The 15160-nt window shown below is 36.3% G+C and overlaps 1 protein-coding gene across 9 annotated transcripts in view; it reads left to right on the top strand.

The window, feature by feature from the left end:
• Positions 1-15160, top strand: part of SLC35D1 (solute carrier family 35 member D1) — an 81173-nt gene that overhangs the window by 16803 nt on the left and 49210 nt on the right. For 3 of the 9 annotated variants that reach the window (XM_006710478.3, XM_047415659.1, XM_047415668.1), the window contains exon 9: positions 5242-5322. The exons of the other annotated variants lie outside the window; for them this stretch is intronic. In XM_006710478.3, the coding sequence (XP_006710541.1) occupies positions 5242-5322 (81 nt within the window). The remainder of the gene's footprint in view (positions 1-5241; positions 5323-15160) is intronic. 9 annotated transcript variants of the gene reach the window in all.

The following is a 15160-nucleotide window of genomic DNA, read 5'->3' as shown; positions in this document are numbered from 1 at the left end:
TTTCCTTAACCTAGGCAACAAAAAAACCCACATTTTTAAAATTAAAAATTTTTTCAAATATTTTTATTTAACTAAAAGTTTTCAACAAAATATCTACTTATACACTGTGACTGTGGTATGTAAACTACTCTTATTTTACATATAAAGACAAAAAGATGAACCCATCAAAAATAATACCTACAACAACTTTTCAACACATTGACAGTACAATAAGATATCAAGAGAAACAATAGAAAGTTAAAAAGTGAGGGGATGAAATTAAGGTGTAGAGTTCTTATTAGTTTTCTTTTTGCTTGTTTGTTTATGCACACAGTGTTAAGTTGTTGTCAGCTTAAAATACTGGGTTATTAGGTTGTGTTTGCAAGCCTCATGGTAATGTCAAATAAAAAAGCATACAACAGATAGATAAAAAATGAAAAGCAAGAAATGAAATTATACCACCACAGAAAATCACCTTCACTAAAAGGAAGACAGGAAGGAAGGAAAGAAGGAAGAGAAGACCACAGAACTACCAGAACAAAGTGGGCAGGAGCAAATCCTTACTTAACAGTAATAATATTGAATGTAAATGGACTAAACTCTCCAATCAAAAGACATACAGTAGCTAAATGGATAAAAAAAGAAAAAAAAAAAAAGACCCAGTGATCTGTTGCTTACAAGACACACACTTCACTTGTAAAGATTCACATAGACTGAAAATAAAGGGATGGAAAAATATATTACATGCCAATGGAGACCAAAAAAGAGCAGAAGTAGCTATACTTACGTCAGACAGTATACATTTTAAGATAAAAACTGTAAGACACAAAGAAGGTCACTATATAATGATAAAGGGGTAAATTGAGCAAGAGGATATAACAGTTGTAAATATATATGCACCCAACACTGGAACACCCGGATATATTTTAAGTTAATATACATTAACTTAAATTAACCAAATAAATGAAAGATCTCTACAGTGAAAACTATAAAACACTGATGCAAGAATGCACCGATATATAAAACAAATACTACTAGTGCTAAAGAGAGAGATAGATCCCAATACAGTAATAGCTGGAAACTACAACACCCCAGTTTCAGCATTGGACAGATCTTTCAGACAGAAAGTCAACAAAGAAACATTGGATTTAATCTGCACTGTAGACCAAATGGGTCTAATAGATATTTACGGAACATTTCGTCCAGTGGCTGCAGGATACACATTCTTTTTCCCAGCACATGGATCCTTCTCAAGGATAGACCATATGTTAGGTCACAAGACAAGTCTTAAAACATTCAAAAAATTGAAATAATATCCAGCATCTTCTCTGACCACAATGGAATAAAGCTAGAAGTTAATAACGAGGGATTTTTGAATACATGGAAATTAAACAATATGTTCCTGAATGACAAATGGGTTAATGAAGAAATTAAGATGGAAATTAAAAAATTTTTTGAAACAAATGATAATGGAAAACCAAAACTTATGGTATACAGCAAAAACAGTACTGAGAGGATAAGTTTACAACTGTAAATGCCTACATCAAAAAAAAAAAAAAAAGAAAAACTTCAAATAAACAACCTAATGATACATCTTAAAGAACTAGAAAAGCAAGTTCTTTTGGGTTCCAAACCCAAAATTAGTAGAAGAAAAGAAATAATAAAAATCAGGGCAGAAATAAATGAATTTGAAATGAAGAAAACAATACAAAAGATTAATGAAACAAAAAGTTGGTTTTCTGAAATGAAAAAATTGACAAACCTTTAGCCAGACTAAGAAAAAAAGAGAGAAGACCCAAATAAATAATATCAGAGCTGAAAAAGGAGACGTTACAACTGATACCACAGAAATTCAAAAGATCATTATTGGCTACTATGAGCAACTGTGTGCCAATAGATTGGAAAAGCTGAAACAAATGGATAAATGCTGGACACATACAACCTACCAAGATTGAATCATGTAGAAATCCAAAACCTGAACAGACCAGTAACAAGGAATGAGATCAAAGCTGTAATAAAAACTCTCCAAGCAAAGGAAAGCCTGGATATGGCTTCACTACTGAATTCTACGAAACATTTAAAGAAGAACTAATGCCAATCTTACTGAAACTATTCCAAAAAATAGAGGAGGAGGGCATACTTCCAAATTCATTCTACAAGGCCAGTGTTACCCTGATACCAAAATCAGACAAAGATGCATTAAACACACACACACGCGCGCACACACACACACAACACAGAACTGTAGGCCAATGTCACTGATGAATAGTAGTGGAGAAATCCTCAACAAAAATACTAGCAAACCAAATTCAACAACAAATTAAAAAGATCATTCATCATGACCAAGTGGGATTTATCCTAGGGATGCAAGGATGGTTCAGGATACACAAATCAATTAATGTAATACATCATATCAACAGAATGAAGGACAACAACCAAATGATCATTTCGATTGATTGATGGTGGAAAAAACATTTGATAAAATTCAAAATCCCTTCATGATAAAAATCCTCAAAAAACTGAGTATAGAAGGAAAAACAATATATGACAGATGAATGGGTAGTATCATACTGAATAGGGAAAAATGGAAAGCCTTTTTTCTAAGATCAGAACACAACAAGGATGCCCACTTTCACCACTGTTACTCAGTGTAATACTGGAAGTCCTAGCTAAATCAATCAGACAAGAGAAAGAAAGGGCATCCAGATTGAAAAAGAAGTCAAATTATCCTGGTTTGCAGATGATATGATCATGTACTTAGAAAAACCTAAAGACTCTACCAAAAAACTATTAGAACTGATAAATTCACTAAAATTGCAGGATACAAAATCAACATACAAAAATCAGTGGCATTTCCATATGGCTATAGCAAACGATTTGAAAAGGAAATCAAGAAAGTAATTACATTTATAATAGCTACAAATGAAATAAAATACTTTAACTTAAAATTAACCAAAGAAGTGAAAAGTCTTTACAGTGAAAGCCATAAAACACTGATGCAAGAAATTGAAAAGGACACAAGAAAATGGAAAGCTATTCCATGTTCATGGATTGGAAAAATCAATATTGTTAAAATGTTCATGCTGCCTGAAGCAATCTACAGATTTAATTCAACCCCTGTCAAAATACCAGTGAAATTCTTCACAGAAGTAGAAAAAAATATCCTAAAATTTATGTGGAACCACAAAAGACCCAGAATAGCCAAAGCCATCCTAAGCAAAGAGAACAAAACTGGAGGAATCACATTACCTGACTTCAAATTATACTACAGAGCTATAGTAACCAAAACAGCATGGTACTGTCATAAAAACAGACATATAGATCAGTGAAATCTATGTGTCTGAATAGAACACAGAACTAAATCCATACATCTACAGTAAACTAATTTTTGACAATGGTGCCAAGAACATACACTGGGGAAGGGACAGTCTCTTCAGTGTATGGTTCAGGGAAAGCCGGGTGTACATATGCAAAAAATGACGCTAGATCCCTATCTCCTGCCTTGGACAAAAATCAAATCATAATGGATTAAAGACTTATCTAAAACTTCAAAGTATGAAACTAGTAGAAGAAAATATTGGGGAAACTCTCCAGCATATTGGACTGGGCAAGGATTTCTTAGTAATACCCCACAAGCACAGACAACCAAAGTAAAAATGGACAGAGGGAATCACATCAAGTTAAAAAGCTTCTGCACAGTGAAGAAAACAACAGTCAAGAGACAACCCACAGAATGGGAGAAAATATTTGTAAATATTTGAAAAACAGCTCTATAGGAAAAAATCTAGTAATCTGATTAAAATAATTGGCAAAAGATCTGAGTAGACATTTCTCAAAAGAAGACATACAGATGGCAAACAGTCATATACAAAAAGTGCTAAACATTGTTGATCATCAGAGAAATGCAAACCAAAACTACAATGAGATATCATCTCACCTTAGTTAAAAAGGTTTTTAACCAAAAGTCAGGCAATAACAAATGCTGGCAAGGATGTGAATAAAAGGGAACCCTCATACACTCTTGGTGGGAATCTAAATTAGTATAAGCACTATGGAGAACAGTTTGGAGGTTCCTCAAAAAACTAAAAATACAGCTACCATACAATCTAGCAATCCCACTGCTGGGTAAAACCCAAAAGAAAGGAAATCAGTATATTGAGGAGATACCCCTATTTTGTAGCACTATTCACCAAGATTTGGAAGCAACTCGAGTGTCCATCAGCGAATGAATGGATAAAGAAAATGTGGTACATATAAACAATGGAGTACAATTCAGCCATAAAAAAAAGGAGATGCTGAAATTTGCAACAACATGGATGGAACTGGAGGTCATTATGTTAAGGAAATAAGGCAGGCACAGAAAAACAAACTTCACGTGTTCTCATTTATTTATGGGAACTAAACATTAAAACAATTGATCTGATGGAGATAGAAAGTAGGTGGTTTACCAGAGGCTGGCAAGGGTAGTAGGGGGGTGAGGAAAGCTGGAAGGGTTAAGAGATACAAAAAATGGTTAGAAAAAATGAATAAGAACTAGTATTTGGTAGCACAACAAGATAATTGTTCATTTCAAAATATAGCTAAAAGAGTATAATTGGATTGTTTGTAATACAAAGGATAAATGCTTGAGGGGATGGATACCCCATTTACCCTGATGTGATGATGGTGATTATTGTTATTATTTTGAGACGGAGTTTTACTCTTCTTGCCCAGGCTGGAGTGCAATGGTGCGATCTCGGCTCACTGCAACCTCTGCCTCCTGGGTTCAAGTTATTCTCTTGCCTCAGCCTCCTGAGTAGCTGGGATTACAGGTGCACGCCACCACGCCCAGCTAATTTTTGTATTTTTCGTAGAGATAGGGTTTCTCCGTGTTGGTCAAGCTGATCTTGAACTCCTGACCTTAGGTGATCCGCCTACTTCGGCCTCCCAAAGTGCTGGGATTATAGGTGTGAGCCACCGAGCCCAGCCCATGATGTGATTATTACACATTGCATGCCTGTATCAAAATAGCCTCAAATAACCCATAAATATATACCTACCATGTTATTTAAAAATAACAATTAAACAAATTTAAAAAAAATAAAAGCGTAGTTATAGGTAGTGGTAGGTCCATATAACATTTGCTGTCTCCCGTTGATTATGGGACATTGTTTTCACTCCTGGGGTATTTACATTATACTGGCACCTGTAGCGCTAAAGACTTTATTCAAAACAGAAGGAAAGCCTAAGAAGCATCTTTGTTTATTAAATCTGTAATCACAGCTACCAGTCAGCCAAGACCGAAGATTCCAGGCCTTGTGGCAGAGAGCCTGTTTAGTTCTGTGTCACACACAGAATGACCAGGTAGGTCATTCTCTTCACAATGGCTCTTTATCAGAGCTTTCTCTAGAAGCAGAAGTTTTGTTTCATTTTAAATGTTTTGTTTTTTTCCTGATTAACAAAATGTATGTTCACCATGCCTTCTATTTCCTATCTTAGGGAGAATAAAAAATTCGCTTGCAAATCTACCACCAGGAGATAACTGGTGGAAGTTTAAGCGAATAATTTCTTCTGTATGTAAATTCTGTCTACATTTAAAGTGACTGCATTTTAGTCTCTCAGTTGATCCTCACAGGAGGCAGATAGAGCAGACTGTTTTCTACATTCATAACATAGGTAGAGGCTCACTGATGTTAAATAACTATGATGGCCACATGGAAAGTTAATGGCAGTTAGAATTAGAACTCCTGCTATTTGACTCACTGATTGGTAACCACGTGGAGCCATAAAGGAAAAAAAAATTGAGAACATGTTGTTGCCTTGCCTTTGTTTTTTTTTGCGGCAGTACAGATGGAAAGACTATAGGTTATGGAGCTGAACAGGTACTTACTAGCTAGATAATTTTGGAAAAGTTACTGAATGTTTCTGAGCCTGGTACATAATAGGCACTTAATAAGCAGTAGTTTTTATTTTTTTTTAATGCTGTCTTTATGGCAGGGAGAATGGGCTCCTTTGCACTGTAGGGACTGCCAGGGTTCTGTTTTTCCTACAGCTGTACTTTCAAATGGCTGCTGCTGCTTTTGTTGCAGCCAAAGATCTATTCCTGTGGCGAAGCAGAGGAATGCAACAGCGTGCTTGTGCCATAGACTGACTTTCTCCAGAGACAGGCCAAATACTTAGAGAAATAAAAAAAAAGTCCCATGAGAATTATTTTTCTGTTTTTGATTTTTATCTGAATGGAACCATATCCATGAGATTTATTTTAATGTCCTGCAGATATCATTATTATGTCCCCAAAGGAGACTGTGCAGTATATATTTGGGGCATTTTTCTGAATCAAATGTAACATTCAGTGTAGACAGCCTTGGGGCTTAGCATATGTAGACTCATGTTTACCGTATATAACCTGTGTGACCTAAAGTAAGTTACCCGTCTTCTGGGTATAAGAAGATCTGGCCTTTCTGTCCCACAGGTTGTCATGGCAATCAAATGACATGATACATGCAGAAGCACTTGGTAAACCATAAGGCACTCCAAAAATGTATGGCAGCACTTTTTTAATCATTTGCTGCTTGATTATCAGGAAGCCTGATTAAACCATCTTTAGCATTGTGCCTCAAATCCTGCCTGGGGCCTGGCACATGGGACTTAATAGATGTCAGAATTGTACACCGAAAGCAGAGGAGATATTTAGAGCTAGAGGAGAGAAGAAACTTAGGTTTATGAGAGGTTTATTTGAGGTCTTTGCCAAATAATTCTGATTACTGAACCACTGATTAGGTCACTGATAAAAAAAAAAATTAAAAGTAATGATTATATATAGTAGCTGACATCATTTATTGAGCCAGATTCCCTCCATGTCAGTGATTGTATCCATATATATATTTTTTGTAATTCTGATAACAACCCTGTAGATGAGGCCTTATTATTCCTCTTTTTACATATGTAGAAACTAAGGTTCAGAGAATTATCATTGTCCCTTACAACAACTTATTCTGTATTCTTAATGACTTTGGGATAAAAGAATAGCTTAGCCAGGAAAGGAAGATAATTTAGAGCTGGAGGAAAGGTTTTAGGGCTGAGATTTCTTTTATGTGTTTTAGCTTGGGTAAAATAAACTCTCTACTTTTCAAGCTGATCTAATACTCCTGTCACAACTGGAAGAAGCCTTAATACCCATGCAGTTCTCCTTTACAGAAGCTCAGTCTAGCATAATGAAGCAGTGGTGAGGTGGTACAAGACACCAGGCTTCTGAATCCTGGTCCACCTACTTTTCTAGGTACAATGGCTTTTCTTGCAGGGTATGCGTAACCTTTCCATTGCCTAATTGATGGCTTACTGGGTTATGCCTTGTCTGTTCAAAGAAAAAAAAAAAAAACTTAGTGCAAAGCTAATGAGTTACATGCAGTTCAAATGACCTTTAATTATTAGAAGAAAAGTTAAAATTATATATTTTGTTAACTATACCTTAATAAAGCTTGGGGCGTGGGGCGCAGGAAACAGGGCAAACTGATAGTGTAAGAAACAGTTAAAATGTGAACAATTAAAATGTAAACATACTTGAGATTCTGGTCCAGTTTCAGATAAATGTGAAATAAAACTTTTTTTAAAAACAAATTATGTAGATTTAACATTCAACTTAAATACAGTTAGTAGCATGTACAAGCAGGTGTGTGGGTGTATTAAAAAGCAAAGTTCAGAGGGGGTCAGGGATTAAAACAAAAGCAAAGTTCACCTCATCTGTGTGTAGAAAATGATGCTGGGCCACAGATCATGGATGTTTAATCTACTGCCACTAGTATTTGTGCTTAGCACTTCTAAGTGCATGGAACTCTGCAGAAATGACATGTGACACATTTCCTGCTCCCAAGGAACTTACAGTCTTGCTAGCAGAAGCTGGTCTCCTGAGTCGTAGGCCAGTTTATTGTGCGTTACTGATTTTTCATCAGAGAGGAGGTTGTGTTTACAGGTATGAAGGAGCGTAGCATGAGATTGTATGCATGAGTTCTCATGTCTTCCATTCATCCAGTAAACAGTTATTAAACACCTACTATTTTCTGATCACTTTGTTAAATACCATGGATACAGAGATAAATCATCAAGGTATTTGCAATGTCTGTCTGGAGAGATAGTCATGTACATAAAGATGTCCATATATGTACACATACTTAGTAAGGAACCTGATAAAAGTAGCATTTAGTCTTCTCTTGAGTTTGGCAGGAAAGATACTAATGTGCAACTTAGGTTTTTGTGAAAGCTTCCTAGTGGAAGCATCATTTGGTACAGGTTTATAATTCAAATCAGGAACTGAATGTGGTCTTTCATTTCCTAGCCATGATGGAATAACACGGACAGGGTTTACCTTCCTACATTAAGGTACTAGAAAATCAAACATTTATCAAACAACATTTTTCAGTCTTTGGATGACAGGCTGTGAAGGATTGTTAAGAAAGGATGAGAAGAGAAAAGAAAGCTATAACAAAAGACTCAATTGGAACTTTTAGGGATGAAAAATATCTGAATTGAAAAATAAAGTGGAAGGAATGAAACAGCAGATTAGGAGAAAAGATCAGTGAATTAAAGACAGTAATGGAAACTGTCCAAGATGAAGCGTATAGAGGAAAAAAGATTGTAAAGCAAATGAACACAATATTAGTGACCTGTGGGGCAATATCAAGAAGTCTATGAAGGGTGGGAGTAGAAATTTTTTTTCTGCAAATTTGATGAAAACTTTAAAGGCACACACACAAGGAGCTCAGTAAACACAGAATGTAAAGGAAACTGTACCATAAAGAGGAACATTTCATAATGATAAAATGGGTTAATTCCTCAAAAGGATATAATGGTCCTAAGTGTATATATTCTTGATGAGAGAGCTCCAAAATATATGAAGTAAAAACTGATAGAACAGAAAGGAGAAATAGACCAACCCACAATTACAATTGGGATCTTAATATTTTTAACTCAGTAATTGATAAAACAGTGAAACTGGAAGTCAGTAAAGTATAGAAGACTTGGATAATACTGTCAACAAGCTTGATCTACTTGACATTAAAGAACAATCCACTCAACAACAGCAGCGTACACATTCTTTTCAAGTGCACATTGGGTATATACCAAGATAAACTATATTCTGGGCCATAAAATGAGTCTTAATAGTTTAAAAGAATTGAAACCATACAAAGTATATTCCCTGACCAGAACAATATTAAGGTAGAAATTAATGGCATAAAGATATTTGGAAAATCCCCAAATATTTGCAAATTAGCACACCTCTAAATAATTCATAGACAAAGAAAAATCACAAAGAAAATCAGAAAATATTTTGAACAATGAAAATCAAAGCACAACATAGTGGCTGGGTGTGGTGGCTCACTCCTGCAATCCCAGCATTTTGAGAGGCTGAGATAGGTGGATCACTTGAGGTCAGGAGTTTGAGACCAACCTGGTCAACATGGCAAAACCTCGTGTCTACTAAAAATACAAAAATTAGCCAGGCATGGTGGCTCACACCTGTAATCCTAGCTACGTGGGATACTGAAGCACGAGAATCACTTGAATCCAGGAGGCAGAGATTGCAGTGAGCCAAGATAGCACCTCTGCACTCCAGCCTCGGCAACAGACCCTGGTTGTTTTTGTGTCTGTCTCAAAAAACAAAAAAACTACAACATAGGAAAATTTCTGGAATGCAGCCAAAACAGTATATAGAGGGAAACCCATAAAATTAATTATATAAATTAAATCCCTAAATGCTTATTTTAGAAAAGAAGAAAGATCTAAAATGAGTGATCTAAGCCTCTGTCTTAAGAAAGTAGCTGGGATGAGGTGGCTCATGCCTGTAATTCCAATGCTTTGGGAGCCTGAGGTAGGAAGATTACTTGAGGTCAGGAGTTCACGGCCAGCCTGGGCAATATAGTGAGACCTGTCTTTTAAGAAGGAAGAATAAAAAAAGGAAACTAGAAAATTAAATCCAAAATAAACATAAGAAATGTAAGATTGTAAGATAAGAATAGAAATCAATGCAATGAAAACCAATGAAACTAAAAGCTAAGATTTTTTTTAAAAAAGATTAATAAAATTGCTAATTCATAGCCAATTAATCAGGCCAAAAAGTGAGTTTACATAAATTATCAATATCAGAAATTAAAGAAGGACCTCATTACAGAGCAGGTATATTTTAAAAGAATAGTAAGAGAATATTATGAACAATATTATGCCAATAAACTTGACAACTGAGACAAAATAGATTCTTGGAAAAGACAAACTATGTACCAAAGCTCACTCAAGAAGAAATAGGTAATGTATGAATAACTCTACTCTGTTAAGTAATTGATATGGTTTTGCTGTGTCCCCACCCAAATCTCATCTTGAATTGTAGTTCCCATATTCCCCATGTGTCGTGGGAGGGACCAGGTGGAGATAATTGAATCATGGGGGGCAGTTTCCTCATCTTGTTCTTGTGATAGTGAGTTCTTACGAGATCTGATGATTTTATAAGGGTCTTCCCCCTTTGCTGGGCACTCATTCTTGCCACCCTGTGAAGAGGTGCCTTCTGCCATGATTGTAAGTTTCCTGAGGCCTCCCCAGCCATGCGGAGCTGTGAGTCAATTAAACCTCTTTCTTTTATAAATTACCCAGTCTCAGGTATTCCTTTATAGCAGCATGAGAAGAGACTAATACAGTAATTAAATAGGTCTGTTTAATTGAAATTAATCATAAGCCTTAATTAATAATAGGGCTATTATAGCCCTATTTATGTTAAAGAAATTGAATTTGTAGTTAAAAACTTTCCTCAAAATAAAATTTCAGGCCCTGATTGCTTCACTGGAGAATTTGACAAAAAATTTAAGGAAGAAATAATAATTCTACATAAATTCTTCCAGAAAATAGAAGATAGAACACTTCCTTGTTGATTTTATATGGCTAGGATTACCTTCTGCCAAAATCTGACAAAAACATTACAAGGGGGGAGAAAGTACAGTACAAAAAAATCCAGCAATATATTAAAAGGGCAGTATATCATGACCATATTGTGTTTATCTCAGGAATTAAGGTTAATTTAACATTTGAAAATCGATCAGTGCAGTTTACCATATTAACAAGAATATAGTAGAACTATCCTAAATAGATGCAGAAAACCTATTTGACAAAAGGTGACACCCACTCATGAGTGTAAAATTCTCAATAAACTAGGAATAGAAGGGAACTTTCTCAGCATAAGAAAGGACATCTACCAAAGAATCTATTGCTGACATATTTAATGGTGAAAGAAAGACTGAATACTTTTTCACTAAGATTTGAGAACAAGGCGAGGATGTCTGTACTCATATAGTGTTCTATTCAGTGTTATGTTGAAGAACTCCATCTGTATAATATAGATTTGAAAGGAAGAAGCAAAACTGTGTGTATTAAAAACATGATGATATATGTAGAAAATCTTAAAGAATCTAGAAAAAAGTGATTGGAACTAATTAGCAAGTTTGTACAGTACAAGGTCAATATGCAAAAATTAACTGTAGCTCCACAAAACAGCAGTGAACACTTGGAAGCTAAGTAAAAAATACCACTTATAATAGCTTCAGATTATAAAGTACTTGGGGGATAAATTTAACAAAATATGTTACCTGTATGCTGAAAACTACAAAACACTAGTGAGATAAATTTTAAAAGACCTAAATAAGTGATTTTTATGTTTATTAATTAGATGGTTTGATATAATTTGTCAGTTCTTAGCAAATTCATCTATAGATTCAACACCACCCCAACTCTATGGGAAGATTTTTGTAGATATTGACAAGCAGATTTTTAAATTTATGTGGAATTGCAAAGGACTTAGTATAGTCAAATCAGTTTTCAAAAATAACAGCTTTAGAGGATTTACCCTACTTGATTTCAACACTTCTTATAAAGCTTCAGTAATCAAGACACTGTGATATTGGATTAAGAGTAGACAGACCAGTGAAACAGAACAGAGAATCTAGAAATAGAAATATACCATGTGGGCAATCATTTTTGTCAAAGGTGTGAAAATAGATCAATGAGGAAAAGATAATGTCTTCAGCAAATGTTGGTAGAACAATTTGACATCTGTATGCAAAATAGTGAACCTTGACTGTGACCTTGTGGAATATACAAACATTAATCAGGAAAGTGTTATAGGTTAAATTGTGTCCCTCCCCTTCCAGATTCATATATTGAAGTCCTAATCCTTAGTACCTCACAATAAATCTTATTTTGAAATGTGATGATTGAGGTGTAATTAGTTAGGATCAGGTCATACGGGAGTAGGGTGGGTCACTAATTCAATATGACTGGTGTTCTTACTAAGAAGGGAAATCAAGGGCCAGCAGGGTGGCTCACACCTATAATCCTAGTGCTTTGGGAGGCCGTGGTGGAAGGATCACTTGAGGCCAGAAGTTTGAGACCAACCTGGGCAACAAAGCAAGACCCTGTCTCTACAAAAGAACTTAAAAAATATTAGCCAGATATGGTGGTGCACACCTATAGTCTTAGCTGTTCAGGAGGCTGAGGTGGAAGGATTATTTAAGTTTCGGAGTTCAAGGATGCTGTGACCCATGATCACGCCACTGTACTCCAGACTGGTTGACAAAGCAAGACCTTGCTTAAAAAAAAGGTTGGGGGGCGGGGTGGGAAATTAGGACACAGGTATGCACACAGGGAGAACACCATGTGAACATGAAGTTAGACATCAGGGTGATACCTCTACAAGCTAAAAAAATACCAAAGATTGCCAACAAACCACTAGAAGCTAGGGGAGAGGCAAGAAAAAGATTGTGTCTCAGTTCTTAGAAGGAGCCAATCCTGTAGACACTTTCATCTTGGAGTTCTACCCTCCAGAACTGTGAGACAACAAATTTCTGCCATTTAAGCTACTCAGTTTTGTGGTGCTTTGTTATGGCAGCTCTAGCAAACTAATGTTAAAAGGTTCATAGACCTAACTGTAAAAGCTAAAACCATAAAACTAGAAGAAAAGATAGGAGAAGATCTTTGACTTTTGGTTACACCCAGGTTTCATTAAAAAGTTATAAGCAAGAATTATAAAAGACAATATTGATGTTAGACTACATCAACATTAACATTTTTTGCTCTTCAAAAGACACTATTAAGAAAATGCAAGGTGAGGCTGGGCATGGTGGCTCACGACTGTAATCCCAGCACTTTGGGAGGCTGAGGCGGGCGGATCACTTGAGGTCTGGAGTTCAGGACCAGCCTGGCCAACATGGCGAAACCCCATCTCTACTAAAAAATACAAAAATTAGCTGGGTGTGGTGGCATGCACCTGTAATCCCAGCTAGTTGGAAGGCTGAGGCAGGAGAATCACTTGAACCCAGGAGACGGAGGTTGCAGTGAGCCGAGTTCGTGCCACTGCACTCCAGCCTGGGCGACATAGTGAGACTCTGTCTTAAAAAAAAAAAAAAGAAAATGGAAGGTGAGTCACAGACTGGGAAAAAATATTTGTATTTTATGTATGTGTGTGTATAGCATATGTGTGATTAAGGACTTTTATCTAGAATATATTTTTAAAAACTCGTGCAGCTCAGTAATAAGACAAATAATGTGAATAAAAATTTGGCAAAAGAGGCCGGGCACCTCTTTTGTACCTCTGTAATCCCAGCACTTTGGGAAGCTAGGGCGGGCGGATCACTTGAAGTCAGGAGTTCGTGACCAGCCTGGCTAACATGGTGAAACCCTGTCTCTACTAAAAATACAAAAATTAGCCGGGTGTGGTGGCATGTGCCTGTAATCCCAGCTACCCGGGAGGCGGAGGAAGGAGAATCGCTTGAACCCAGGAGGCAGAGGTTGTAGTGAGCTGAGATCACACCACTACACTCCAGCCTGCGCGACAGGGTGAGACTCTGTCTCAAAAAAAAAAAAAAAAATGGCAAAAGATTTAGACAGACACTTCACCAAAGAAGAAATGCTAATGTCAAAGATTAAAAGATACTCAATATTGATAGTCTTTAGGGAAATGCAAATTAAAATGAGAAAATATCACTTAACCACTTATTAGAATGGCCTGTAACAGTTCCAAGTGTTGGTGAGAATATAGATCAGTGGGAGCTCTTATATAGTGCTGGTGAGAATACAAAATTGTGTAGCTACTTTGGAAAACAGCTTGGCAGTTTCTTACGAAGTTAAAGATACACCTAACCAAATGAACCAGCAATCCCATTTTCTAGCTATTTACCCAAGATAAATAAAAACATGTCAGTTGGGAGACTTGTAACGGAAGGTTCAAAGGTTCATAATAACTTGTGGAAATAACCCAAATAAGTGTCAATTACCTGGTGTTTGGATAAACAAATTGTGGTATACCCATAAGATAGAATACTAATTGGCAATAAAAATGAATGAATTACTGATACATACATAGGATGGATGAGTCCTAGGAGCATAATGCCAAGTGAAAGAGAAGGAAGACACTAGAGTACATGCTATACAATTCCACTTGTAGGAAATTGTTGAACAGCGAAGTTATAGTAACAGAAAGTAGATCAGAGGTTGCCAGGGGCTAGAAATGGAGGGGAGATTGACTCAATGGGGAGGAGGGAACTTTGGAAGGAGTTGATTTCTTTATCGTGATTGTAATGGTGGTTACATGATTATACATTTGTGACTACTCATTGAATTGAACACTTAAAATTAATTTATTTTTCATGTATTCTACCTCAACAAAGAACTATAAACAAACTGTCTGTCAAGCACTGTTAGGAATATGATTAGATAAATGTGATGTGGGTCCTCCCTTCAGGGAGTTCATTCTGTAGACATGGTATAGAAAGATTTACAGTTCGAAGAGACAAGAGCTCTAGAGAGGAGTACTGAGGCACAAAGGAAGGAGTACTTGATCAGGAAGGGCCCCACAAGGGAGCCTTGAGTTTTAATTTGATGGCTGAACAGGAGTCAGACGAATGTTGAGGGGAAGGACATTCCAGGCAAAGGCATGCAAGTAAGAAAGTGTATGGTATGTTTTATAAGCCACAGGGAGCCTGGTATTGTTGGAGCCCTGGTGCCATCAGATTTATGCGGAAGTAGCAAAAGTTGAAGCTGGACAGGTTAGCAGAGATAAAAAGGTGGAATGTTTGTCACATTTGCTTATCAAACTCCTATTGCAAAAACAACTAGGTACTTGAGAATCCATTCCTCTTGGACAAGAGATGAGATGATCAGTGTACCCTTT

The sequence above is a fragment of the Homo sapiens genome, chromosome 1, assembly GCF_000001405.40.
Source record: "Homo sapiens chromosome 1, GRCh38.p14 Primary Assembly".
NCBI classification, from domain to species: domain Eukaryota; kingdom Metazoa; phylum Chordata; class Mammalia; order Primates; family Hominidae; genus Homo; species Homo sapiens.
The sequence above is the reverse complement of the archived record's forward strand: the minus strand, read 5'-3'. Positions and strand labels throughout refer to the sequence as shown.